The sequence below is a fragment of the Homo sapiens genome, chromosome 15 (assembly GCF_000001405.40).
Source record: "Homo sapiens chromosome 15, GRCh38.p14 Primary Assembly".
NCBI classification, from domain to species: Eukaryota; Metazoa; Chordata; class Mammalia; order Primates; family Hominidae; genus Homo; species Homo sapiens.
This window is the reverse complement of record NC_000015.10, coordinates 87,859,732-87,886,775: the sequence shown is the minus strand read 5'-3', so window position 1 is coordinate 87,886,775 and position 27,044 is coordinate 87,859,732. Positions and strand designations below refer to the sequence as shown.

Sequence of the window (27,044 nt, the reverse complement as noted above, 5' to 3'; positions counted from 1 at the left end):
CAGCATAGAAATATATATATATATGTGTGTGTGTGTGTTTATGTGTGTGTGTGTATGTGTGTGTGTGTATATATGTATATATATATATATATATATATAGCAAAAAGTGGGATTTTTCTCTTTGGTCATTACTCACATACTATAGAGGAAGCCACTGGTTTGTTGGTTTTCCGAACATTTTTCTATGCATTTTCAAGGTTACATGGTATCACTATATATTTGCATCTGTATCCACATATACATTTTTACATGAATAAGAATACTACAATATATTTTTCAATGCCTTGTGTTGTCACTTAATATATCTTAGATATATTTACATATCAGTACACATAGCTCTACTATATTCTTTTTAACTGCTGCCTATAACTTTAATGGTGAACAAATTTTTGCCTTTAGAATGAATGAAATAAACACCTTTAACTCAGTATTTTTGCTTACCTGAGTGAATTATCTTTCTAAGACTCCTAGAGGTGAAATTGCTGGGTTCAAAGTCACTTGCACCTTTAATGTTGACAGATTCTACCAAGCTGCCCTCAGAAAAAGCAGAAACATTTCTCACCAGTGGCATTTGAGAATAACTCTTTCCTCACCCCTCTCAAACACAAGATAGCAACAATTTTTTTCAGTCTTTCCCAATTGACATTCAGAAATGTGTTTCTGTTGTTTTAATTGGCATCTTTTCATATGTTTGTGGCCATTTCTAGTCCTTTTGTGGATCATCTGTTCTTACCCTGTATTCATTTTTCTGCTGGGTTGCTTTTCCTAACTAATTTGAAGGAGCACTTTGTATTATATGGATTTTAATTCTTTGTCTGTTACATATATTGTACTTTTTTGGCCATTTGTCTTTTAGCTATGCTTATGTTGTCTTTTGCCATGCAAAAGAATTTAATTTTTGTAAGTTGTATCTCTAAATCTTATTCTTGATGGCTTCTTGAACATGTGTCTTATTTAGGAAGGCCTTCCTTTTCTGAGGATAAAGAATACTTTTCTAAGTTTTCTTCTAATATTATTATTGTTTTGTTTTTTATGTTTAGCTCTTTAATCCATCTGGAAATGATTTTTGTATATGGTGTGAGGTAGGTATCTAAGCGTATTTTTTTTAATGAATAGTTCATTGTCCCAACACTTTAATTACTAAGCCATTGTTTCATATATTAAATTCCAATATTTATACATGGGTCTGCCTCTGGACTCTCTAGTTTGTTCCATTAATAAATTTGTCTACCCTATGCCAAAATGCAATGTGTTCATTACATAGTTTGATAAAATGCTTTGCTATCTGATAGAGTAACTCTCCCGTATTGTTCTATTTCAAGTATATCTTAGTTTTTATCAAATAATTACTACTTTAGATCAATTTTGGGTTCATCTTGTCAATTTCCATACACCATTTCATTTGGGTTTTCATATATATTGTGTTAACTTTTCAGATTAATCTAAAGAAGAAATGAAATATGTATAACATTGAGTCTTCCTATTCAAGGAAATGACACAACTTTTCATTTGTTCAGATCCTCTTTTATGTTTTTCAATGCATTTATTTAAATAACCTTGGACATTTTCTGCTAAGGTTTATGCTGAGGTGTTTTAAACACTTCTGTTGTTATTGTACAAATAATCTTATTTTCCATTGTATTTTGAAGTCATTGCCACCGGCATGTGAGAATAGTTTGATTTTTGTGTGTTTCTCTTATTTCTGGGTAGGCTGCTAAATCATATAATGGTTCTAACTGCTTTTTCGTTAATTGTCTTGAATAGTCATATCATATCCATACAACAGGCAGTTTGACGTTTTGTTTTCAATATTTCTACCTCATTTAAAAAATTCTTGCTTTATTGCATTGGTTAGGACCTCTTGAAAAATGTCACATAAAATTCGTGATAGAAGATACTTTGTATTTTCCTAACGTTTTGTCAGTAAATATGATATTTAGTATATTTAATAAAGGAAGTTACCTTCTATGAATTAGACTTTTAATCAGAAAAAGATGTTGGAAATTTTTGGCATTTTTGAAAATATGGTTTTTCTTCTTTTATCTTTTAATTTAGTAAATTTAACAGTAGGTTCCCCAAGGTTGAGACATTCTTACATTTCTAGGGTAAACCTTATTGAGCTATATATAATATGGAATTCTTGTAATATAGTGCTGATTTGATAAATATTTTATTTGTATTTGGAGAGTATATTCATAACATAGTTTTACACACATATAGATAACTATGTATGTTGATATTTATTATGTAAATATACATGTAAGGCTGTATGTTAAATTTGACTGATTTTGTCTTCAGGGACGTTTAAACCACATAGAATGGTTTGGGAAAGTTTCTATCTTTTTTTGCTTTGAAAAAGTATAAATAAGACAGAAAACTTTAATAGAACTCAACCAGAAAACTATCTGAACCTTCTAGTTTTTTAATGTATAGATTTTTTTTACAATTATGGTTTTTGTATTCAACTTTTCTATTTAACTTTTAAAAAATTAATATTTTTAGTAAACCAATAATGCATGTATACTTTCAAATTTATGGATGTAATAGTCTTAACATTTTACATTTGTCTCCTCTACATCCCTTATTAATCTTGCCAAAAGTTTATGTAACTTTTGAGAGAACTAACAATTGATTGTGTAGATCAATTCTGATTTTTATTTTCCTTTTGGCTGGCTGTTTTGCTTTGTTTGTTTTACACTGATTAATCAGTATTTATTTTATTTTATTGTTTATTTCTTCTTACTTTTCTTGCATTTGTTTAGTGGATCTTTACTGCCTTTTTTTTTTTCTTGCTGAATCCTTATTAATTTAATTATATTTTCACTATTTTAAAAATAAATGCTTAAATGCTGTAATTTTTTTTTCAAAAATTACTTCAGTTATATTTCATAGATTTCAAGAAATAGGACTTTAGTTATTGTTACAATAAATACTTTTACATTTTATTTTCAGTTTTTTCTTTACCAAATAATTTAATTGCCCAAAGACAACTTTTAAAAAATTATTCTTTCTTGTTAACTTTTATTTTATTATATTTGATACAGAAAATGTTTCTTATTTTTACTTCATATTTATTTTTTATCTTGGAATTCCAGTTTTCCTTTGAGATTTAATATGTGATTGGTTTTGATACTTTTTTTAGGTAATTGAAAATAATGTGCAATTTTTTAAGGAAGCTGAAAGATGCACACAATCACAACACTCATATCTACTTATTGAAACCCATTATTTGTATTTTTAAAGTGTATCTTCATTTATGTTGTCTTCTTGATCTTTCAATTTGTGAAGCATTTTAGTTTTCCATTATAATGATAGCTTTGTCAGTTTTCTTTTATTTATAACTTGTTTTTACTCTTTATATATATATATACACACACATATACATATATATGTATTATTTCTATATATTTTTATAAATTTTTATATATTGTTGCTATATTAATTGGAGCATAAACTTCATCATCGTAATGGTGAATTTTACCAGCTTTAAATATAATATTAATTATGATATAAATTTAATATAAATTATTTAGTCTTACTTTAGTTTTTGACATTTTGAATCCTTTTTTTCACATATATATGAAACAACAGACAACGTGTAAATCACAATAAAAGAAATGTAATTGGCTATATATATCTGTATATGCATATATATATATACATGTATATGCACATATATGCATATATGTAGCCAATTATATTTTTCTTTTATGTATAGTTGTATTTTTAGCACTCTTCCATTTTCAATGTTTTCTGCCATTTTGTTTTAGACATGTCTATTTTAAATAACATGCAACTTGATTTTTCTAACCTAAATTTCTCTCTCATTTAAGAGGTGATATAACTCATTTGTACTTATTGTCTCTAGTGGTGTTTTCTAAGCTTCATTTTCATTTTGTGCTTTTTAGTCATCATTATCCTACTCCGCCTTTCTGTAGTCTTTTTGGTATTAGTTAAAGATTTTGGCTTTATTTAAAAAACGGTTTGAAAGCTATATGTACTATTTCTATTCTAGAAGCTACTTTAAAATTTTAGTAAGCATATTTAAATTTAAAGTGTTAATCTCAACAATTAATCACTGTAAGCTTCTTTTTTCCTTTCTATAACATACAGCCTTTATCAGGCTTTTAATTATTTCTATATCTACTCTTCTATGCATTTATGGTTGAAATTATTGGAAAGTTTCATTCCAGATAAGTATGTTAGTTGTATCAGTGGTAGTACTAATAGCATTATTAGTATTATTATTTACTTTATGTCTCTATTTTACAGGAAGCCTTTATTAGTAATTGTATTACTTTTACTACCAAATTAACAACCATTATTCAAATTTAAATTGCATTTTTGTGGCTTATTTGCTCTGCATTTTTTGTTATGTTCCAATAATTGCATAGCTTGGGTTATTTTTACTGTTTTTCTAGAATATGTATTCAATTAGCTTGGCTCCTATATTTTCTGAAAGGATGTGAGTGGTAAGCTTTCTGAGTCTTTGCTTGTCTGAAAGAAGTATCTTCAGTTTTCTTTACACTGGATACAAAACTATCCTGATTAGAAAGTCCCAGGTTGAAAATAACTTTTCTGGCTAGGCAAAGTGGCTCACGCCTGTAATCCCAGCACTTTGGGAGGCCAAGGTGGGTGTATAACTTGTGGTCAGGAGTTTGAGACCAGCCTGACCAATGCGGTGAAACCCCGTCTCTACTGAAAATACAAAAATTAGCCAGGCATGGTGTTTCATGCCTATAATCCCAGCTACTCAGGAGGCTAAGGCAGGGGAATCGCTTGAACCCAGGAAGCGGAGGTTGCAGTGAGCGGAGATCGCGCCACTGCACTCCAGCCTGGGCAGCAGGAGTGAAACTCTGTCTCAGAAAAAAGAAAGAAAAGAAAAGAACTGCTCTGCAAACTTGTATTATAATTTACCTCCTAAAATTCTTCAAGTGGTTAAGGCAAACATGATTTCCCTTTTTGGAAACAAGATTGCCCATCTCCCAACTTATTCGTTCTTAATTATTCATTGTTATTATTTCTCTAACTGACCCCCCATAGAAATAAGAACTTTAGGCCGGGCGCGGTGGCTCAAGCCTGTAATCCCAGCACTTTGGGAGGCCGAGGCAGGCGGATCACGAGGTCAGAAGATCGAGACCATCCTGACTAACACAGTGAAACCCCGTCTCTACTAAAAATACAAAAAATTAGCCGGGTGTGGCAGCGGGCACCTGTAGTCCCAGCTACTCGGGAGGCTGAGGCAGGAGAATGGCGTGAACCCGGGAGGTGGAGCTGGCAGTAAGCCGAGATCGCGCCACTGCACTCCAGCTTGGGTGACAAAGCGAGACTCCGTCTCAAAATAAATAAATAAATAAATAAATAAATAAGAAAGAAGGAAATGAGAACTTTAAGTAATACCTCATCCGGACATAAATAGACAACTCTTTTTTCAATATTAAGTAGTTTTTTTAACAATGAGTTCCATGTATTAGGCAAAAGTTTCAGTTCCTGAAAATCTATTTACTAATGATGCAGTTAGTTCCTGAGTTTTCACACATGCTGTGAATTTTCTCCCACTTATGCTAACATCTCTAGCCTGCTGGGCAAAGAGGAGTTCCCTAATGTTTTTCTCAGTAAAGGGTACCCTGGGTGTTTATCCTTGTCAGTCACTTCCTTTTCCCCTTGGCTTTCAGTTTGGCAGATTCACAGGTGGTTGATATCCTCCTTAGGCTATTTTTAAAGACTCTCCCTACTGTCCTTTGAGATCTTACTAAGAACTGTGGTGAATTCTCTTTCTGTCCATCTCCTACCTTATTAGCACGTGGTCTTCCACGCTTTTGGAATGTCTCTGTCTCCTTCACTTGAAACACTGAGTCCTAAATTGTGGTGAGAGATTCGAGATTGTCAGTTAGAAGCTAAAGTTCTGCAGATCAGATGCACATGGAATATACTGTGCCACTGCAGCCAAGAATCTAACCTGATGTTTGCAGATACTGATCCTTGGTGACTGGCTTAGTCATTCTGCTGACTTCTTGCTGGACTTGCTCTTAAGGTTAGATTTTTCTGTAGTGCTAGATTCTGAAACCTTCTCTCTCACTTCAGATTACCTTGATCTTTCTACACACTGAGTGCCAAGGAACCTACCTTCCCTCAGGTGTTACCTCTAGTTGCTAGTCTAGCTGTCTCCTTTATCGTAGGTCTCCAAAGTCAGCATCTTCACACACCTCTGATAGAAGTTGCATAAAGCTGTGACTATCTTAGAATAGGATGCATCAAGAGTGCATCTATGTGTGAAGAGTGCAGACAGATAACACTCATTCTGGCCATCTGGTCACTCTGTGTGCCTCTATCTCAACCCCTTTTAGGTGGGAGGACACACCATGCTCCCCATTCGCTGGATGCCTCCTGAAAGCATCATGTACCGGAAGTTCACTACAGAGAGTGATGTATGGAGCTTCGGGGTGATCCTCTGGGAGATCTTCACCTATGGAAAGCAGCCATGGTTCCAACTCTCAAACACGGAGGTAAAAAGGGGGTGCGTAGGAATCTTGATTGGGGGAGGGCTCATAAGAGCTATCTCAGCCCAGAACTTGGACCTACTGAACAAGACATTAGGTGGGATTTAGAGCCAGCAGAGTGAATGCAGGCATTAGTGGGAGCAGAGAGCTTCTTAGTAGGAAAAAAAAAATGGAACTGTAGGAAATGTGGTGTAATTGTCAAAAGAGCATGAAATCAGAGGTCTAAATTGAGACTCAAGTCATGCCTCTGTTAAATCTGCTACCCTTAAAAATCACAAATGTTTCACTATGACAAAAAAGGAAAACAGAACAGCTATGAGTTTTTCAATTGTGCCATCTTGTGGAAACACCCACTACTTAGTATGCCCACATAATCTGGGTGCACAAAGGTTTTAGGTATGCCAAGCCCAGGGATGTACCAGATGGTCAATTTGGGAAGACCAGTTTTATAACTGGTAGAGTCATGTGTGAACGTCTAGGAATAAAATAAACCGTGTTTATTTTATTACTATGTTTTTACTATGTTTATTAGTATGTTTACTGTTAAACTTAGTAATAAATAGCCATTATATTTTTTATAATTGTAATTTGCAATAATAAAAAATGCTAGTAAACATAAATTAATAGTAGCTGACATTTAGTGGTAGGCACTTTTCTAAGCATGTTAGCTCTATTAATTCAGTAATTTTTGCAAAAACACCTGTTGAGATTCAGGTTAAAGGAAGGGGGTCTGCTTGAGGTACTGAAATGGGCTGGCCAGGGTCTCACAGGTAAGAGCCTCCAAAGCAGGGACAAAGCCTGGGCTGTAATCCTAGGACTCCTCTGCCTCCAAAGCCCATCAAGATGCTTCTCAGTGATGCATGGACCATGCCATGTTGCCCCAGGGAATTCAGTGCAGTTTGTAGGCAGTAAGGAGCTCAGTCTTTCAACCCAGTCGACCTATGAAACATCCCTATGAAACATCGCAATTCTTTTTATGGTCTTCTGTTTGCTGGGAAAATGTAAACACAAGACCCTTTTGGTATTGAAATCTTATTTGAATATTCAACAGAGTGTCTTTCTTCTTGGAAGCTATGTTTGTCTCTGCTCTCCTATGTCTTGACCACTTGATTAAGTGAATTACAAAGACTGAAAAGAAATTATTTTTTAAAACGTGTACTATCTCATGATTCACAAGCTCAGTGGGGCCTGACCACATTTCCCAAAGTAGAACAAAATATTTTAACAATCTTTTAAAATAATGAAAGTATATATACTAGAACCCATTTGTTATGGTGTTTAAGAAATTGTTACTGTTTTCGCAGGGGAGGAAGGGTTAGGAACACACACACACACACACACACACACACACACACACACACACACACACCATGCATGCACCTGAACACTGCCTCCTTGTAGTTTGGTGGCCCCAGTAAACAGAGGTTCTGGGCTGAGGTTGCTATTGGTCTTAACAGAAGACTCAGCATCTGTTCTTGAGCTGGCTCATAGCAGCTAACAGGGTGTTTGCAGTTTCTTCTAAGACTCACAGAGGCATTGGCCTTAAAGGCAGGCTTTCTGCCCTCAGCCACTTCCCCCACTCCACCCACCATAGCAGCCACATACTGACAGTCTCTGATCATCGGTTTCTCCATGGAAATCAACAAACCTGGATAGTCCAACATTAGAAGAGACACTCCCAGGTGCCTTTGATCTTGGCATTAGCAGCTGCTACTGTAGTTCGAACTGAATCCCTTTTCCTGGAGGTGAAGGTAATGGAGGGTGGAAATGGGTCTCTAATATGAATGGGGAATATAAGCAGCTGGAGACTTATCAGGCTGGTAAAGAAATGAGCCAAGGGGCCATCGTAAACTCCAGGGTGAATATAACCAGGCGGATGCTGACACAGTGATGGTTTGACCAGCCCTCCCAAAGTCAGCGTGACATGAGACAATACTGGAAACAAGGCACTGTTGAGCAGTGTAGGGACATGCAAAGGAGAAAAAAGACAGTGCTTTTACCTAATTAGATACAGACTAATGGTGGCAGAGAAGGGAAATAATATTTGTTCAGCTGCTGAGCTAGAGATTATTCTTTGTATTTTTATCATTATGACCAATCTTTAAATGCAGAAACTGAAGTTCGGGGTCAGTGACTTGACCAAAGTTATGCAGTGGTAGAGTTAGGGAGAAGTGAAAACCAACCTAAAAACTAGACAATGAAGCCTTGAAAATGCATATATTCAGTGTCAGTAAAGAATTATCTTTGAGGAATTGGAAATGCATTGCAAATTATACACTTGGGTCTCAAGTGGCCTGCTGGGGTTGGCCAGGCATGCATTACTTGTTTTCTTCCTACTCCTCCTTATGGCTTCTCCTTCAGTATGTTGGGCCATACAGTCCCTTTTCGTGGTCTCATTTCATCCTTACAACACTCCTGGGGGTGGTTAAGGCAGACATTTGATTCCATCTTACAGATGGACATGCTGAGATCCTGAGGTTAACAGACTTGAACTGGCCACCCAGAAGGCAGTGGTGAATCAAGCAGTTAGTCCTATTGTTAAGGACTTTAAGAGAAACTGGAAGCATGGTTTAGTGCAAGCAGCAGGGAAGGATGGGTCTTGCTGCAAAAGGGTCCTATGTAATGACTCAGAGGCAAGTGTGGTGACGTGCACAGAGTCTGCAACTGGGAGCCTGCCAGGAATGAGAGATAAGAGGAGATAGGCATGCAGGGGCCAGAGGGTGCAGAGCTCCTTCATGGCAGTTTCAAAGTGAGGCAGGCTCATGAAAGGGGGAGGGACAGGTCAGAAGCCCATGTCCACTATCAAGTGAAAAATGAATGCAGCTCAGTCATCCTGATGAGATTCAGGACTAGAGAAGAAAAGTGAGGTAAAAGAGAAGAGAGTATGGGGAGTCAATGGTCAATGTGGGCCTGGCCCAAGAAGTGGAGTATGAAGGGCAGCAGAGGACTCCACCAGCCACTGCTGCTCACTGCACTGTGCACCAGACAGACAAATATACCAGTGCTGTATACAGCCTAGCCTTTAGCTTGTGCTTGTGAGAGCCTCGGCTCTGCATAGAAACTAATCCGGGAAGTTGTTGCTTTTTGCCGAGTCTGAGCCACAGGACCAAGGCTGAGCTTTGGGTGTAACTTCCTTGTTCTTCTCACTCTTTCAGGTCATTGAGTGCATTACCCAAGGTCGTGTTTTGGAGCGGCCCCGAGTCTGCCCCAAAGAGGTGTACGATGTCATGCTGGGGTGCTGGCAGAGGGAACCACAGCAGCGGTTGAACATCAAGGAGATCTACAAAATCCTCCATGCTTTGGGGAAGGCCACCCCAATCTACCTGGACATTCTTGGCTAGTGGTGGCTGGTGGTCATGAATTCATACTCTGTTGCCTCCTCTCTCCCTGCCTCACATCTCCCTTCCACCTCACAACTCCTTCCATCCTTGACTGAAGCGAACATCTTCATATAAACTCAAGTGCCTGCTACACATACAACACTGAAAAAAGGAAAAAAAAAGAAAGAAAAAAAAACCCTGTAAGGCAGTTTGGCAAATATATATATATATATATATATTTATATATCTAACTATCTATCAATCTATATCTACAGAGAGTTACCTTCTCTAGTACACAGAGAAGCTGCTGATACAGAAAACCACAAGACTTTAACAACTCAGAAACTCTAAAATATTAATAATACAAAGGAAAATTCCCTTTGACTTAAGCTGTGGCCCATGCTTCTAATGCTACGGCTCTTTGGAGCAGAAGACCTGGACCATGCAGAGAGACAATCTTTGGGATGAGAGCTCTGGGACGGGAGGAGTTAAGGTGGTGCTCAGTCGCTGCTGTGTGTGTCTGTTACCCCGGAAGCTCACCACAGGCACATGTGGGGACTGCATGGCTGTGCTCAGCAAAGAAATGATGCCTGAGCAGGGTCCTTGCCTCCACTTCTTCCCCATTTCCTCCACTTCAGGACAATGTTCTAATTTGTCCATTCTAAAAAGTGTAATCTTGATGCTTTTGGGAATCAATGATGGCACCTACGGGTAAACACAGAACAGACAACCCCACAACACAAAACCATGACAAGAGCTGACAGCATCCATCCTGGGTGTAAGCTTCTTGCTGGAGTTGCAAAGGATGTGTCTTTCTATTCTCAGAACTTAAAGAACTGGACTTTCTGGAGTAAAAGAACCACAGAAGAAAAAATAGCTGAAACCTGAACCCTGCCAAGACACTGCCACCTGTCTTTTCCATCATTGCAAAGATTCCTTGGCCTCACCTCCCACTTTCAGGCCCCTGGGAAGCTTAGGGGGTTAGGAAACAGGTCCCCATGTTATCTTTGAATGTAGACACAGCACGCTTTAGGGTTGCAATAGCAAGAGACTTGGTTGCTTGTAGGTCATTATAACGAATGCCCCCTGGTCCTCTCAGTTTCTCATCCTGCTTCCCTAGATCCTAGACCCCACTTCCTGGGTCTCTACTGAGTCCCAGGTAAACCCCACTGCCAAGGAAGGGAGCCAGGTCTAGTGAGAGGCTGCAGCAGTGAGTGTTTCAGGAAAGCAAGCAGTGGAGTGGGTGAGAGCCAGCAGGGGAGAATCTACTTGGCACCTGTGCCAGGCCCCTTGGCATTCTCCTCACGTTTCCAGCCCCTGGGAGGATTGATGCATCTGCCTTTGAGCTGTTGTGAAAACGCAGGGGCTGAGAAATCACTTTTGTGGGCTGGGGTAGGGGGAAGGGCTGAGGCTTCTCTGGGAGATGTCCAATGAGCGGCCAGTGCTGCAGGCTTGGAATCTTAATGAGGCCTGAGCCCTGACCGGAGAGAGGGAAGGAAACATCTGTGCTGGGGCCTGCTCCCTCTGCCCCAGCACTGGGGAATCACTGCCTTCCTGGCTGCTGCCACATACCACAGTGGGGCCGACCTCTGGGCCTCCCTGTCACATGAAACATGGAAGCCAACAGCCTGGCCCCACAGATCTCCTCTGCTGGAGAGGAGAGGATGTGTTCCTCCCAGGCCACGGGGCCCCTCTGCCTTGCCCCAAGCACAGAGCTACCTAAGGGACTGACCTTTGCCACACTGGAGCTCACCTCCCGGGGGCCTCTGGCCTACCCTTTTCCCTGCCAGCTGAAGAGACTGCCGGCAGCCTGGACGTCCTGGTTAGCTGAAGGCAGCTGAAATGTGGGCCTCCCTATGTGGGGTTTAGTACTGAATTATGTGTTTGTGGTTTTGCTTCTTTTTGTAGACCCACAAATATTTTTATTTGAATAGTAAAGAGCTGTGCTCAGATTGTAGCCATGGTTGGGATTTGGGATCAACGAGGCTGGTTAGCTGGACTGGGAGGGGAGGCAGGTGAGATGGGAATTTGGTGTTGGTTTTCTCACTGTGCTGTGCTCCTAGCCCCTGAGGACTTTGCAGGAAAGCTGTTTGGATTGACCACCTCAAGGAACTCCTTTGCTGTCCTATGACAATTACTCCTCTTGTCTTTCCACCTAGAGGACCGTTATGCCGGGGCTGTGAGTTCTGGCTGAAGCTGCACAATCTGGCTTTGATCTGGGTAGCTAAGAACAGGTGTTCAGGGAGGGCATGGTCTGGAGGCGCCTGAGGGAAAAGTATCTTCTGGTTAGAAGTGAAGCACCAATGCTCCTGTTGCTTCCCTTCTCCCATATCCTCTCCTGAACAAACACTGTGTGGCTTCTGTCTTCTTGGCTGTGTGTTTCAAAACTGATAGTCACTGATGGGCTGGGAAGAAGCAGGAGAAGAACTGGGTTGGAGATGGGTGGAAAACTGGGAATAAGGACCATGCTATGGTTTTATCTTCAGGGCACTGATTCATCATGGCCTAATGAAAGAAGGTGATTCCTTGGGGGAACAAGAAGCACTGAAGGAGACCGCAGTTGTCAGATTGCTGCCACCTTAGGCCCACGGGCTTTCACGCTGATCTTGGGGTCATGTTCTTACTGTGTCCATTGTAAGCAGCTGGCTGTGGAAGAGTGCCAGAGAGAGAGGGGCAGAGCAGGGAAGGGTAGCGAGGGAAGATATATTACTTTGATATATTAGCCTTGGCAGATTAAAAAAAAAAGATTTATTTTGGAGAGTAAAGGAGGCAGAAAATAGGGCCATGGAAATTGCAGGGTACACTATGGCTCTGGGGAGTGTGGCATGTACTGGGACACACCTGTCCCTCCTATATTGGGACAGGACTGATAAGGCTTAGTACACTGTATCTTAATTTCCCCATCTGCAGAATAAGGGGTACACCTGCTAATCTCTGGCCCCTTCTAGCTCTGAGTTCTTAGATTCTGACAACGTTGTGTCACTGTGCCATTTTTCTCAATACCATTCTGGAATGGCAGGACAGCCTTGCATAGGTGGGGGGCAGTTGCCGCTGAAGGCTCACTGGGCCTGGGCAAGGCTGAGTTCCAATAAGACACTCCTCTCCTTCTTTGCCCCTTGTCTCAACATTTCGGAGTCTGAAGTGTCTGAGACGACTGTAAGCCAGGAGGGGAGCATTTGGTCGGCTTCCCATCCTGGCATTCCTACATACCAGAAAAGCACTGTCGACGGTCCATTTATTTATTTATTTATGAAGAGCCTAATGTGATGAAATGTGTTGTGAAATGACATCCTATTAGCCAATATGGCCACTCCAGTTCATTTCACCCTCATTTTCCCATACCAAAGTCCACCTTTTAGAAGACCATGTCACATCGCCTCTGAGAGCTTAGCTTTGAAGTGAGCTCTTTTGTGTCTTTTGATGAACGCTCCAGGGCACCCAGGCTGGTCTCTCTGCCATGCCAACCTCACCGGATCCTCTCCTGGACTGAGTGAGAGTGACCTGCTGTTGGGTGTCCACCTTGGAGTAGGGTGTTGTGGCCATGGGACCTCCCAATTCTTCTTTCTTTGGATGTGAACCTAACTCTGCCCTCTAATGATATCCCTGAACTCTGAGGGGACCTTGGGCATCACTGAACCTCCTCTAGTCAAGAGACAAGAAAAAGGAGGTGCTGCTTCCTCCATTCAGCAGATCATGCACAAATTACTCCTAGACAGAGGCTTCCCACTTGAGGCAAAGGATCTTTGGTCCTTCTGGGTTCAGGTTGAACATTAATGTTCTTCTCTAGTGATGCCTACTTTGCGGAATACACTAGTGCAAGTCATTTTGGTGCTAAATACTGCAGAAACCAACACCAACGGGAGAGCTGTCAGCCAGCTTCTGGGGCTGCACGAGACTCAACTCAGAAGTAGAAGTGAGTCAGCCATGCCGGGAGAGTACAGGGTGCATTGGAAGTTAAGTAGAAAAGTGGCAGGGTGAAAAGACCAGCAAAATTTCTGATTTTGCTATTAGTTATCCACGTGGCCTTGGCCAAATCAGCTTATTTCTCATTTGAGACGTTTAAGAGGTTTGTATAGATATTTTTAGAGTCCTTTTCATTTTTTTAAAGCTAGGTTCTGGTCCCACCTGATATATATGTACTTGCTTGTTAAAAATAAGAGATGAAGTGAAAGATAAGGAAGGAGACGAAGAAAAGTTACCAATGGCAAAGGATTGATTATAGAAGACAATGAAAGAAGGCCTGGTGACTGGTAGATTTGAGGAATATTGTACAGGGAGCCAGGCAGACAAGCCAGAGACTTCATTTTTATGCTCTTCACAGGAGGTCACTGGCCTAGCCACTTGCCTGCGTTTCACCAGGCTGTTCCCCTCAGCTAGTCAACCTTCCCTGTTCAAAACCAACATGCTAACACTTGGCAGAAACTATTCCAAGATATGGAGAGAGGCCTGCCCATCTCTCATGCAGGCCACTGGAAATCAACTCTGGGTCAAAACCGACAAGATTTTTATCTTTTAATGCTTATTGTAAGAGGCCGGGATGTTTGAAAGAGGGCAGCGTCTTAAGTTGCAGACTATTCACCAAAGTCCTTTTCTATTCAGGAATGACTAATGACTTTCTTTGTTCCCCTTTTCCAAACCAAACAGCAGCAGTATTACCTTGACTCCAAAGTACAGTGATTGCAATGGACAGTCTTGAGATTAAGGGTCTTTTTAGTGCTTTGCTCGGAATCTGGAGCAAGGAAATGTCTAGGGATGTTTGTTGAATGAACCCACCTGCCAGCAGTCCAGAGAGCTGTCCCAAAGGCCCCTGAGATGTCTATTGTCTGCTTTGGTAGGGAGCCAACCTGCTAGAAGACTCAAGGGCATTTGCCTTAGAGAGAAAAAAAAATGGCACATTTAGTTCCGGGCTTGGGTGCTGAAGTCACTGTGTTTTTGGCTCCTGAAGCTCCACTTTCTTTTTTCATACCAAATAAATTGTTTTGGCCAATATTTAAGGATTTAAATATTTAAGGTTTTGAAGGAAAATTCCAAGTTTATGCATCATTATTAAGACATCAATATGGGCTTGGGAAAATGTTTTGGTGTTGCTTAATAATACTGGGAGTGTCTTCTAAAGAAAGTATACATATATGTACGTTGTGTGTTTATTTCTATATATTGGATTGGAATGGCTTCAAAGAAGGCCTGTTTGAAGTCAGCAAATTGATTTCAATTTGGGATTCTCTTTTAGCCTTACCGTTCTTGGGGATAAGAAATCTGGAGATGAACTGGCCTCAGAAACATTCAGGAAGATTACGATGGGAAATCTGTCATCTTGTAAAGTTGGATCATTTGGTGCTCTCTGAACTAAATTATGCTGACTAACATTCTGAGCATCTGAAAATCATTCTTCCTGGTTGCCTGATAGATGACCACACAGGAGTCATTTCTATCACATCTTATTTGGGGGTTGGTATAGACGCCACCAGCACTGCAGGGAAAACCACCCCCTAGGAGGGGTGAGACAGAGAGAATGTGAGATTTTGATCATTGATTGCTCTTTCTGAAAGGCACTGCTGACCATAGTAGGTGTGGTGAATGTTTGTGTCACTGCATTGGGTATTAGAACTTTTGCTCTGAGCATGGGCTGCCCTACCCTGAAGAGCTGAATCTTGGCTTCTGACAGAAGCTCTGCATGACTCATTCTCCTCAAGCATATTTTCCTTATTTTCCTATGAAAGTATCTATAGTTTGCAACAAGAACTGTCTTTGGTTCAAGTGTCAGTGTACTAGAATAGATGCTTTTCTGTGAGACCTGTGGAGGTTGGATTGGGGTGGGGGGTGTTCCTTCAAAGTACTTGGAATTCTTTATCAAAGAAATAAAACTCAGATTCTCTTCTTTCTAGTTTACTTCTAAGTTCCAAATTTAAAACAAGACCCAGTTTGACATTTGCAGTAGGAGATAATGTCTTGAACCAGTGAGCTTGGCTATCTTTCTTTCATCATAGGGAGGCAGGGCAGTAAGTTGTATTAATTTTTCCTAATCACCCAGGCAAATATTGCTTTTTGTTCAGTGTCGTGACCCACATTCATAGCTTGCAGGGGATACTTCTAGCTGACAAAGCTGGAAGTTTCTAATAGAAGATGTATCAAGATAACAGAGGTGAGGAAAGGCCTGTTGAACATCTACTTCTGAGAATCATTGAGGCACTCAGGTCTTGCTTTTCAGTTTAGTATCTTACAAAAGGAGTTGGTTTCTTCTCATTTTAGCAATGATAAATTTAGACATCTTTTTTGAAAGGCCAAAGGTAGATTGAGAGCTCAAATACTTACGGTGTACTCTGACAGTCTTTTATTCTATTTTTCAAGACTTATTTTATATATACATATTTTTTATTTCCATAGGTTATTGGGGAACAGGTAGTGTTTGGTTACATGAGTAAGTTCTTTGGTGGTGATTTGTGAGATTTTGGCACACCCATCACCCAGGCAGTATGCACCATATTTGTAGTCTTTTATCCCTCACTCCCTTCCCACACTTTCCCCCTGAGTCCGCAGAGTCCATTGTGTCATTCTTATACCTTGACATCCTCACAGCTTAGCTCCCACATATCAGTGAGAACGTACGATGTTTGGTTTTCTATTCCTGAATTGCTTCACTTAGAATAGTGGTCTCCAATCTCACCCAGGCCGCTTCGAATGCCATTAATTCATTCCTTTTTATGGATGAGTAGTATTCCATCATACATATATATGTTTGTGTGTGTGTGTGTGTGTGTGTGTGTGTGTGTGTGTACCACAGTTTCTTTATCTGCTCATTGATTGATGGGCATTTGGGTTGATTCCACTTTTTGCAATTGCAAATTGTGCTGCTATAAACATATGTGTGCAAGTATCTCTATCTCTTATGTATAATGACTTCTTTTCCTCTGGGCAGATACCCAGTAATAGGGCTGCGGGATTACTGACATTCTTTTACATGCAACATCCCTAAAACCCAACAAGACGTGTAAACACTGAAGTCCAAGTCTGATAATTATTCTTTCATTTAAGAAGAACACATGGGAGTTTCACATATTATTTTTAAAAACTAATTTTGTAATATGTTAAATGGTAGGACACATTCAATTTTTTTTCCTCATTGGAGATCTGTCCATGTTCTGTCTCAATTTAATAGCTACCTGGCATGTAACTGATGCCTCTGAGCCTACCTCTGGAGTGAATAAATAAACGTGGTCCAGGTGATTTGATTTCTGCCATTTGTAGTGGAGAAGTAAATCTCAGTGAAGAAGATTTTTTTTCATATTTCTTCTTTTTTCTTTTTCTTTTGGCTTCTATCCTCCTGCTTCCATGGGACTGACAATCCAGCTTCTCAAACTCCACGAAAGTCTTAATACAAGGTGAATCCCAGAGCCACAAACAGTTTGGACTTCAAACAGTGAGAAAATTGGACCGAATGATTCGGCACACAAAGCAGAAAACTTTCATTTCCTGTAGGCAGGATGGAATTGACTGTTATATTAAGACTTCTGAAGAAGCCCTGCCCTGGAGTAATTTCAGTGCTGTCAGACGATGTTGACATCTAGATTAACCTCTGTGCAGTGAATTTTACTGCAAAGCTCATTGAGATGCATGTGATGTGTCTCCACAAATCCCATCTGGAACCCGTGGTGGCCCACCCTCAGCAACCCTCCTCTCCCCACTGACTCTGCTTTCTCTGTCCATAAACTTTTAGCCTCCAGGAGCAGAGGAGCCGTGGCTGAGATCTGACCCTAGGAGAGGGAGTTTGGGCCTTCTCTGACCATGATGCTGAGCCAGGCTTTCTGCTTAGAGTGACAGAGATTGTCATTGTATTGGGTTTCCCCTGAGGGAACTGCAAATTAAGGCATGAAAAACACTCTGCTGATGACAGTTTCACAGCATATCTTAATGCTGCACAAAGTGAAATGGTTTAAAAGGAATTAGTGTGTCCTAAGTCATTGAGCCCTGCTCTGGGCTCTGCAATCCTCTAGGGATTCAAGATCCCATTGCAACAAGGTCATGACTGCGTCTAGGCCGGACAGACGGATTCTGAAGGACAAGGTGTTTGTCTTTTGTGCAGGTCTTTCCTATGGTCCTTACAAGAGAGGCAGCCACAGCTCCTGTTTCTCCCAACTGGGACAAAAGATGTAGCTGTTTTCTAAGCACTGGTTTGTCATCTCTTTAAGGAGTGGTTGGCTCCAGAATGAGCCAGACTCACTCTATAATTCCACATTGTGGCACAACAGCCACATAGAACCTCAAAGCTGAAATTGCAACTTTTCTGCAAAATAGGGCCATTGATTACATCCAAAGTTTTGAGAAAAGGCCTTCAGGTTAGATTCAGTCACCTTCAGACTCCACAGAGTTGCTCAGCATGGTTGCAGGCGTCTTTGGAAACTTACCTCAGGGTTTTAGAATACGTTACCCTGAAGTCTGGATAACAATTTTCTCTGAGATTTTACTGATTCTAATTCCCTTTGAAATTGTTTTTCCTACTTGCCTCTTGTCTTTCATTTAAATAATAAGAATCTCCTTGCATATTCTTAGGTATTTCTTTAGGAGAATTGGAAGTTTCCAGCCAAGGACACTGTGTTTATGAATTGGAAAGATATCTTTCTGGGCTGAAAAAGGTAAAAATCATACGGAGGCAATCTTGATGACTTTATTTAAAAGCAATTATCAGCATTGTGTTTTATTCTAGGTGCTCGTGCTCATAGTGCAAACTACATTCACGTTTTTAATTATTTATGTTATGATACTTATTCGTGTGTACATATATGCGCACACACACACACAAAAGCCTCCACAATCCTACTGGTATACAAATCCATATGCCCCATTTGTGTCGCTTCCGTTGATCTTTGTGTGCATGCATTTGCAATGAAGTGTGCATCACATGTGTGATTTCTTAAAGTCATCTATAGCTCATCTTTCCTCTTATTATCGACACATACCCTTTGACTTTCTGCACTTTGGAGCTCATGAAATTAAGGCTTTTTCAAGGGAGACTACATCTTGAGTTTCTTTAAACCTTCATATTTAAAGATAGGACTGGTTTTCTTCGAGAAACAAAAACTTGATTCAGATTTTATTTAATTAATTAATTTTCTGGGGGAAATGGTACTGAATTTGTTCCTGAGTAACAAATAGTAGTAAGTGCAAATATAAATGTGAAGTAGTTTAAGCAGGTTATTGAACCTATCTTGTGGCTGAAACAAGTAGTCAGATATGAAGCTCAGACACTCAAATTGAATTAGAACGTGAACCAAAACGGTTAGCATGGGGCAGGAGAAGAGCACTGGGCTAGGAGCAAGCCTGCTAGATTGTCACTTGAGTGTCCTTAGCTTAATGTGGGCATCTGACAACTAGTTGCAGTCCTGTGCCCCTCTAATTCCAGAGATGGGGCAAGCCAATCTGTTTCTCATCCATTGCTCAAGTTGGTTATCACTGAAATATTATATACCATCTCAAGATCCTGCCCTGAACAAGTTTGCAAACATCCCCCCCACACTGAGGAGTCAGTCCCATTTTTGTTTTATGGCAGTTTATCTCTTGTGACCCTCCTTTGGAAGCTGTCCAAACTCTGAACACTTGCTGTCCATTCCCTGCTCCCCACCCCACCCTTTAAGGCCAGGGAAAAGCCAGGGAAAGCCCTATTGGCTCATCTCCCTCTTTCCTAGCCTGCACATCAACCAAGCTTGGGATTTAGCCTAGGTTTTCAGAGAGGAAAACAAGTGCGTTCTCCCAGCCATCAGTATCTTTCCAGCCCCCTGGACCAAGTGATTAGTGCCTCATTAGCGCCTCATCAGTTGCTTTTGCACAAGAGACTCTGGGACAACAAGCCTATTATAATGCCTCAGTCTGTCTTTTTGAAGTCAAACCATCCTTCTGGCTTGGTTAGGAAAGGGGAGCCTTTCTCCAAACACGTTTTCTTTTAATTTCCTCTGTTGTTTTCTGGCTGTTAACTATATGGATAAATGGTAAAACATAATTTTCATTTTTTCTAGGCCCCTATGAGAGTGGATATGCTATATTTCTATAGATGAGGAGTTCCACATGTCAGCAAAGCATTTATTTATTTAGTGAAGTGACTATAATATTGACACACAGATTTGCAGCAGCATCCAAATCTTGAGGGGGAAAAAAAAGCCTTTTTCAATCAAATGAAACCTTTTCTGTGATGGCACCAGAGAGGTTTATATCTTAAGCACAGAACTGAACCTGATAATATGCTTCCTTTCTAGAAACAAAGAGATAGAAGAAATTGCTGAAGGAGCTGGAAGACCAAACCATCTATTCCCCAAATCATTATGTATCAATAGATACTTCAACTCTGTTCCTTAAATGGCTCTGAAAAACACAAATAACCATATTTACTATTAAAAACAAATTCATAATGTCTAACCCAATCCCTTATTTTAATATATATACATATTAAAATAATCCCATGTATATATGATTATTATTATATGGGATATATATAGTTTACATATATATAGGGGTGTGTGTGTATATATATATATATATTTACATATATATGTAAATGTATACTTTTTAATGCTGGGGATAGTTCCATATTGTTTCTTTTCTTGATTCCTTCTAATATATTCAATGAGATTTATAATTTTTTTCACTTTTATTTCTTTAGGAAAGAGTTGGGGTCTATTATGAATGCTTTCTAGGATAAAATGGCAAAACAGATGGAAAGTGTGGTAGAGGGAGGATAATGGGAATAGGAGGCAGAGAACTTGCACATTTCTATTTCCTGCTGAGAGATCTTGGAAAAACATTGTCTGCCCTTTACCTCAGTTTCTTAACATACAAAATAGAACTACTATCAACCCCCTGCATGCCACAGAGGGTTATTTGAGCCCTAAATGAGATCATAACTGTTAACATACTCTGTGAACTGTACAGGGCCAGACAAATAGAGCCCACTCTCTGGGCAGTTGCATACAGTCTTGCTGGGTGCTGAGCTGAGTGACTGAGAGCCGCTTTTGAGACACATTTTGAGGCATATCTTCCCTAAATTTTTGCTGGTGTCTGTTTTTTAGAAGTTTTGCCATTAGCATTTTTTGCTTTGAGTATCTAGTGATGGAGAATGCTCTAAAAAATACAAGGAGACAGGGGGATTCTTTATCTATTTGGCTTAGTCACTGGAAAGGGACAATTAGAGTTTGTTTTCAGGCTTGGAACTCTGACATTTTGTAGCAAAATGGCATCTTCTGCTGCATTTAATTCCTTGCCATCAACTCTTGCTTTCATAAGGTTCTGTCAATTTCAACATAATGCTTTGTAAAAATAGGACTCTGTGAAACTTTCTCTATAAATTTGGTGGTATAACTAATTTTTCAGGGAGCATCTGAAGGGATAATGATTTTTAAGTGGTACCCTGTTCATGCCAGGACCAGCATTTGTACATGGGAAAATAATCTTAAGATGAGTGAAGAGCAAATGCTAGACCACACCTTTAATAGGCCCAAGTGCCAACAAAAATACGTGTGAGTGGGATTCCCACGGAGAAATGTTTCTGAATGAAAATGAAACCCTTGATAATGAATCCTGAGGCCAGAATGCCAAAGTCACAGTATTCTGTCATTTACAGCCCCTAAAAAATCCCAGGTGTTTGTGATGACAAGCCACTATTATAAGTACTCTGTATTAGTGACTACTTGGCAAGTAAAATTTTCTCAAATGTTATTTTTCATAGATCTCCAAGCAACAATCACTTGCAGTGTATCTGACAAAATGCTATACATGATTTTCTAAAAGTATTTTGATCACTCCAGAAAGAAATCAGAATAAAGCTGCATACCCCAAATCCTAGAAAATTCACAAATATTTTGCTCAAGTTCAGGCTCTCTCAGCTTCTCTTTTCTCTTTAACTTTTGCCTCATACAGAGGCAATCTTGATGACAAAAGATTGGGCTCAATTTTTGTTTTTCTTGTGTAGAAAAGCAACACCTCTGTTTCGGACTACTGTTCAGTAGACAAAAAGCATCCCAGCTTTCGAAATGAGAGTCCAAATTGGGTTACCACTGAGATTTTAAATTATGATGTGAAATTGGAGAAGGTGAACTGTACAGGGCCAGACAAATAATAGAGCCCACTCTCTGGGCAGTTGCATGCAGTCTTGCTGGGTGCTGAGCTGAGAGACTGAGAGCCGCTTTTGAGACGTGTTTTGAGGCATATCTTCCTTAAATTTTTGCTGGTGTCTGTTTTTTAGAAGTTTTGCCATTAGCATTTTTCACTTTGAGTATCTAGCCATGGAGAATGCTCTAAAAAATACAAGGAGACAGGGGGATGCTTTATCTATTTGGCTTAGTCACTGGTTCAGGGTGAAGTTTCATAATTTATTCTGATAATCTGGAGGGGATGACCTCCTTCACAGTACTGTTAAAGCCTTCCTTGAACAAGCTCATTTCACTATATAACTTCCTAAAGACAAGGCTGATTATTTAAGGATTTCAGAGATATCATTTGGGGAATAACTCACCAGGTAGAGAAAGTTTGACCTGATATGTTAACAGGCACAACAAGAACTTATTTCAATGCTTTCTCACCATCTGCCCCTTCTCTGAGAGTTTAGCCTTTCTTAGGATACTTCCTTTTCCAGGCTAGAAAAGATTGATTGTATTCATATCCCAAAGTAAAGGCTCCTCCAATTCTATCAGATGTGGAGGCAACAGAAAATGACTCATGTTATTTTTCTCTCACTTCACAGCATCAAGAACTCTTCTTGTTTATGTGGGGGCCATGGTGGATTAGCTTGAGGAACTGTCAAATTAAAATGAAAGGAAAGCAAGTTGGGGCAAGAAAATTCTCACTCTGAATGTGAAAGAAAATAGCAGTGTTCTTCTCTCTGGCAAAGATTTGTGTACTGTTGGGGGAAGATTCATGTTATTTCTCAGGTAGACTTTACTTTTTGAGATTCTGTGTGTGTGTGTGTGTGTGTGTGTGTATGTGTGTGTGTGTGTGTGTATTTTGCCTGGTGGGGGGTTAAAGGCAGATAGAATGTAGTTGTTTATGAGTTTATACTTTCTCTTTAGCATAATAGATGCCCTGTTTATTTTCTCAGAATGTGACAATAAAATTAGGAAAGGAGAGGAATTCAGAGGCCCATGTTGCAGTTCATGGCAAAGTTTTACCCAAATATTTCCTTCAGAAACATTTAGTCATAGCAAGCCATATAAATTATTGTCTGCAACTGGTATCAGAAAAAGAAATCAGTAGGTGGGGACTGTAGACCCCAATGGTGCATCTGTTTACAATCTTTCTTTTCCAAGGTTTTAAGGTTCATGAATAACATGAGGGAATTTTGGGAGAGCTACCACATCAGTACTTTGGCACGCATTAACTGTTCCACAGGAAAACTAGGGTTGCTTCAGGGCTATTTTTGTTTGAAATGACACACATACAAAAAAAAAAAAAGACTTTTGGAACATGTTTTGAGGCCTGTCACCTGAAATCAGCCTTTGCTGAAAGAGTATTTAGTTTGATAAGCGGGATTTCTTGCTTCTCGCATCCCAGAGTGTAAATTCTGCAGCGAAGCCTGGGTGTATGTTTTCAGCACCAGGGACAGCAAACAACCCCCTGAATTGAAGGGGCCCGCTATCCTGATTGACCTCCCAGACTAGGAAGGGCAGTTGTTTTGTTTTCCTTTATTTCCTATCTACCGGAGCCTCAACTTGGAAGACTTTATTCTTAAGGTTCTTACATCTTTCATTTATTACCAAGCCTAGCTTAGCTGTCTCTGTCACATTCTTGACCTCCTAACAAATGGGTTTGGAGTAACACTCCCAGCTCTCCTGGCTCAGAGAAGTAGAAAGAAACACACTAGACTTCATTTGAAGGGCATGCTTTAGAGTAGGCTCCCCCTACACAAGTCTTTATAACATACCACTGACTTGTAAACCCCTAAATGAAGGACTGCTTATACACAATCATTTTCCTTTTAACATTTCTGCACATTTCTCACAATGTACAAGTCTATGTTTGACTCAGTGTGCATCTGGAGGCAATGTTTCACAGCAGTTGAGCAGAAGCTATGAAGTTTGGGGACAGAAAAGGTCCCAGTGATGCTGCTGTTATTCATTTTGGAGACTCATTGGGGGCACTTCTCTGATTCTCAGCATCCACCCTTCAACCCTGAGTGCTCTTTAACAGCTGTTTTTGCCTTAAACAATCACAATAAGAATGCAAATGACTCCTTGTGGCATTCTTCAGGCCAGACTGAAGGGTGTACTGAGAAAACAAGGGTAGCAGAAGCACATGTTGTCACATTGCTTTGTGATTGGCCAGTTTTTATATAGCACAATGACACACAGATATCATCTTAGAGTCATCATTGTCTACTCTTAACTAATTGTCAGCATCTTCTCCACTCATGTCAGGATGAATCCTGTGTTGGGAAGGCAAGTCAGTCACTGCAGGTTTCATCATAAATATTGCCTTCTATCTGACAGATGTTAGAAAACCTCCATTTTGAATGCCTCTGTACCATCCAAGGCTCTGAATTTCCCCTATATCTTATCCCTTTCTTTCCATTCCCTTTCCATGTTGCTTATCATAACATCCATAACATTTAGTGGTGTAAGAAAATAAGGGGTTTCTTTTAGGAATAAATGAGGTGGAAAAAGTAGGACAGAGCCAGATCTCAGAGGAGCAAGTTCAGTGGAACGATGATTTCTAACTTGGGAGTGGGTCTAAGATGTAGCCATCCATTCCTTCCATTCCTTGTCCTCTTGAGTGAATCTCATTCCAGTGCTCACACTTGCCCTGCAAAAAAGGCCATGGCACAAGATTCTCTAGATTATTTGTATGAAGACTGGAGGTGAGCAGCATCCAACACCTCTGTTAGAGTTCTTTAGAATAGAGGAGTTTTGTCTTATATTTTAATCCAGGAACCTTCCCATATTTAAAAAGTTTAGAAATAATATGTACAGAAAGGACCTATGGGGATAGGAAAGCTTAATAATACAAGTTATTTTCCCTTAGAACAGAGGGGAAGGAGCTGCAAAGTGACTGCTAATGGAGGAACGATCTGCTGGCTGGGGGAAATGTGGCCTGAGACTAGAGATGCAGAGCAGGCATCTCTAGAAGGAGAGATGATGCCAATAGAAGCCCCAGGAGGGAACTGGCCAGCGAATACAATTTTATAAAGATTCTCAGTACTTTTTCTGAAAAAATTCCTAAAATTTTCAAGGGCGCGTCTAGCCCTCTGCCTCTTTAGAGGTGAGCTCAGTGCTACTTCTGGGTTCTTAAGGCAAATGCCCTACAAACACCAAAGTCTTGTATTTTCCACTCTCAGCCGGCACTGGCTAAGTGGGATTTTTTTTTTCCCTTCCCTAAGTGAAAGGGACTTGTTTTCAGGAGAAGTGTCCTTTAAACATCCAGCTAAAACTGGAAGTAATTTTTTGCATGAATGGCTTTTTACAGCTAGGTCTACAGCAGAACAAAACTTGTATTAAACTAAGTGCTACTTTACATATCTTATTTCAAGGGAAATGAAGGATTTATTGTCGTGTAAATGATATACACTGATTTGTTTCCTACTGGACATTACATGTCCCTTTATCTCTAGGCTGATGTTGTGCAGCAAACTTTCAATATCTGGAAAATCAGCTGGTACCTACTTCAGTGCATTATTAGGATATTACGTTCCCTGAGAGGAATTTTGCCAATGAAGTTTAGGTACTGTTGTAACTGATTTCCATCCCCCCTCCCTAAGCTTCTGTACTAAGTATATGTAAAGCTATTATATCTTGTCTGATCCCATGTGTTCATGTGTGTTTCCCAATGTTTGCATAAATATATTGGCAATCTGAAGGGTTAGCTGGCTTATGGCAACTGCTGAACAATGGTATGTTTGGCATGTGGGACACCTGATACCTGGGCACACCTGTTCTGAGGCCAAGCTAATTTTACAGATTTTGGAAAAGAAAAAACAGCAGCAACAACAACAGTGTGGCTTGAATTAAGGAAAGTTTAACAATGAATACAGTATTGCCAAGTCATCATTTATGGGTGGAGACGTTGACCACAGCAGTTGAGGTGCTTTCAACTGGATCTTATGCCCTTTATTTTAATCCCAATTGATAGTTCCTCATTTGTATTTTATGACTTAGAAATACTCCTACGTGATGCTCGTTTGTTTTTCTCCCAGGCTTCTGGAAAGTGCTGATCATGATTGCTTCCTATCATTTGGATCCCAAAGTTGATAACTTAACATAAGTGACTGAGGTTTTAGTAGAACTGGGTTTTACTAATCGTATCTCCTCCTTGAGGTGCTGTTCCCTTCATTCCTTTCCTTTATGACAGGTGAATGCATTGGCTATGCTGATTTTATTTGCATCCTGGCGAGTCTTGGAGAATCAATCTCGTTAAAATGATGACTGCATTTGCCTTTGGAGAAGAGGTTTATTGTCTAAGTAAAACTCTTATGTGAAGGTGTCATTTATGTAAAAAAAAAAAAAAATTCTAACTTGATAAGATGGCCACAGGTTAGAGGGGTGTGTTCTCAGTTGATATTAAGGGATATGTTGAAAAGGCAAGTGCCCACCCTCTATTCTTCATCTCACCCTTCCTTTCTCCCCAACCTCAAAAGAAAACAAAAAATTATTTTTTTAAATTGTATTAGTAATTTATGTTTAATACAAAAGGATGATTTAATGGTATCACCAAAGGTTGTTTCTCCCATTGTGCATGTCCTTCAGTCTCGGCCCCATACCCATCACCCCATTCTTCACCCTCATGCTTCCATCCCAAGGCAAACATGTGTCTTCATCGGAATCTATGGGTGTTGAAGTTAAATGTGGGGGCAGAGATTTAACACCATGACACTAATACAAATCAACCATTCTTCACTTTCAAATGGTTAATCACTACAGGAAGGCGAACTCTTTTCTTGGTTTTTGTTTAAAAACATTTTATACATATATATGTATATATGTGTGTGTATGTATGGACATAGGTATGTATATGCACATGTACATGTATATATGTATATATCCATCTTCAATATAAATATATCATAAGTGAGAGTTGTAAATACTCCTTGGTCATATGTCTGTCTTTCTCATAGTATCATATCTTCAATGTTATGTTAACAACTCCATTTATTGATTGATGAAATCGTGTGTAGACCTGTATCCTCCTGACATAGTTTATGTAGGGTCTCTTCTCAAATAAAGTATAAAACAACAATGTCCTTGTTTTATTTGGA

At 39.8% G+C, this 27,044-nt stretch overlaps 1 protein-coding gene across 15 annotated transcripts in view, besides 2 other annotated features; it reads left to right on the top strand.

Moving 5' to 3' along the window:
• Positions 1-27,025, top strand: part of NTRK3 (neurotrophic receptor tyrosine kinase 3) — a 396,989-nt gene extending 369,964 nt beyond the window's left edge. For 12 of the 15 annotated variants that reach the window (NM_001243101.2, NM_002530.4, XM_017022240.2 and 9 more), the window contains 2 exons: positions 6,348-6,506; positions 9,656-27,025. In NM_001243101.2, the coding sequence (NP_001230030.1) occupies positions 6,348-6,506; positions 9,656-9,841 (345 nt within the window). In that variant the 3' untranslated portion in view covers positions 9,842-27,025. Of the gene's footprint in view, positions 1-1,040; positions 1,083-6,347; positions 6,507-9,655 lie in introns of all 15 variants that reach the window. The other 3 variants (NM_001012338.3, NM_001375810.1, XR_001751292.3) reach the window with 2 other exon arrangements.
• Positions 11,435-11,935: an enhancer, noted in NCBI's record as "H3K4me1 hESC enhancer chr15:88418072-88418572 (GRCh37/hg19 assembly coordinates)". NCBI's record gives its function as "activates a minimal SCP1, AML or CMV promoter by ChIP-STARR-seq in primed H9 embryonic stem cells {active_cell/tissue: H9 hESC(primed)}" and the evidence as "EXISTENCE:reporter gene assay evidence [ECO:0000049][PMID:30033119]".
• Positions 23,311-23,511: a silencer, noted in NCBI's record as "peak2413 fragment used in MPRA reporter construct". NCBI's record gives its function as "represses an SCP1 promoter by STARR-seq MPRAs in K562 erythroleukemia cells {active_cell/tissue: K562}" and the evidence as "EXISTENCE:reporter gene assay evidence [ECO:0000049][PMID:32103011]".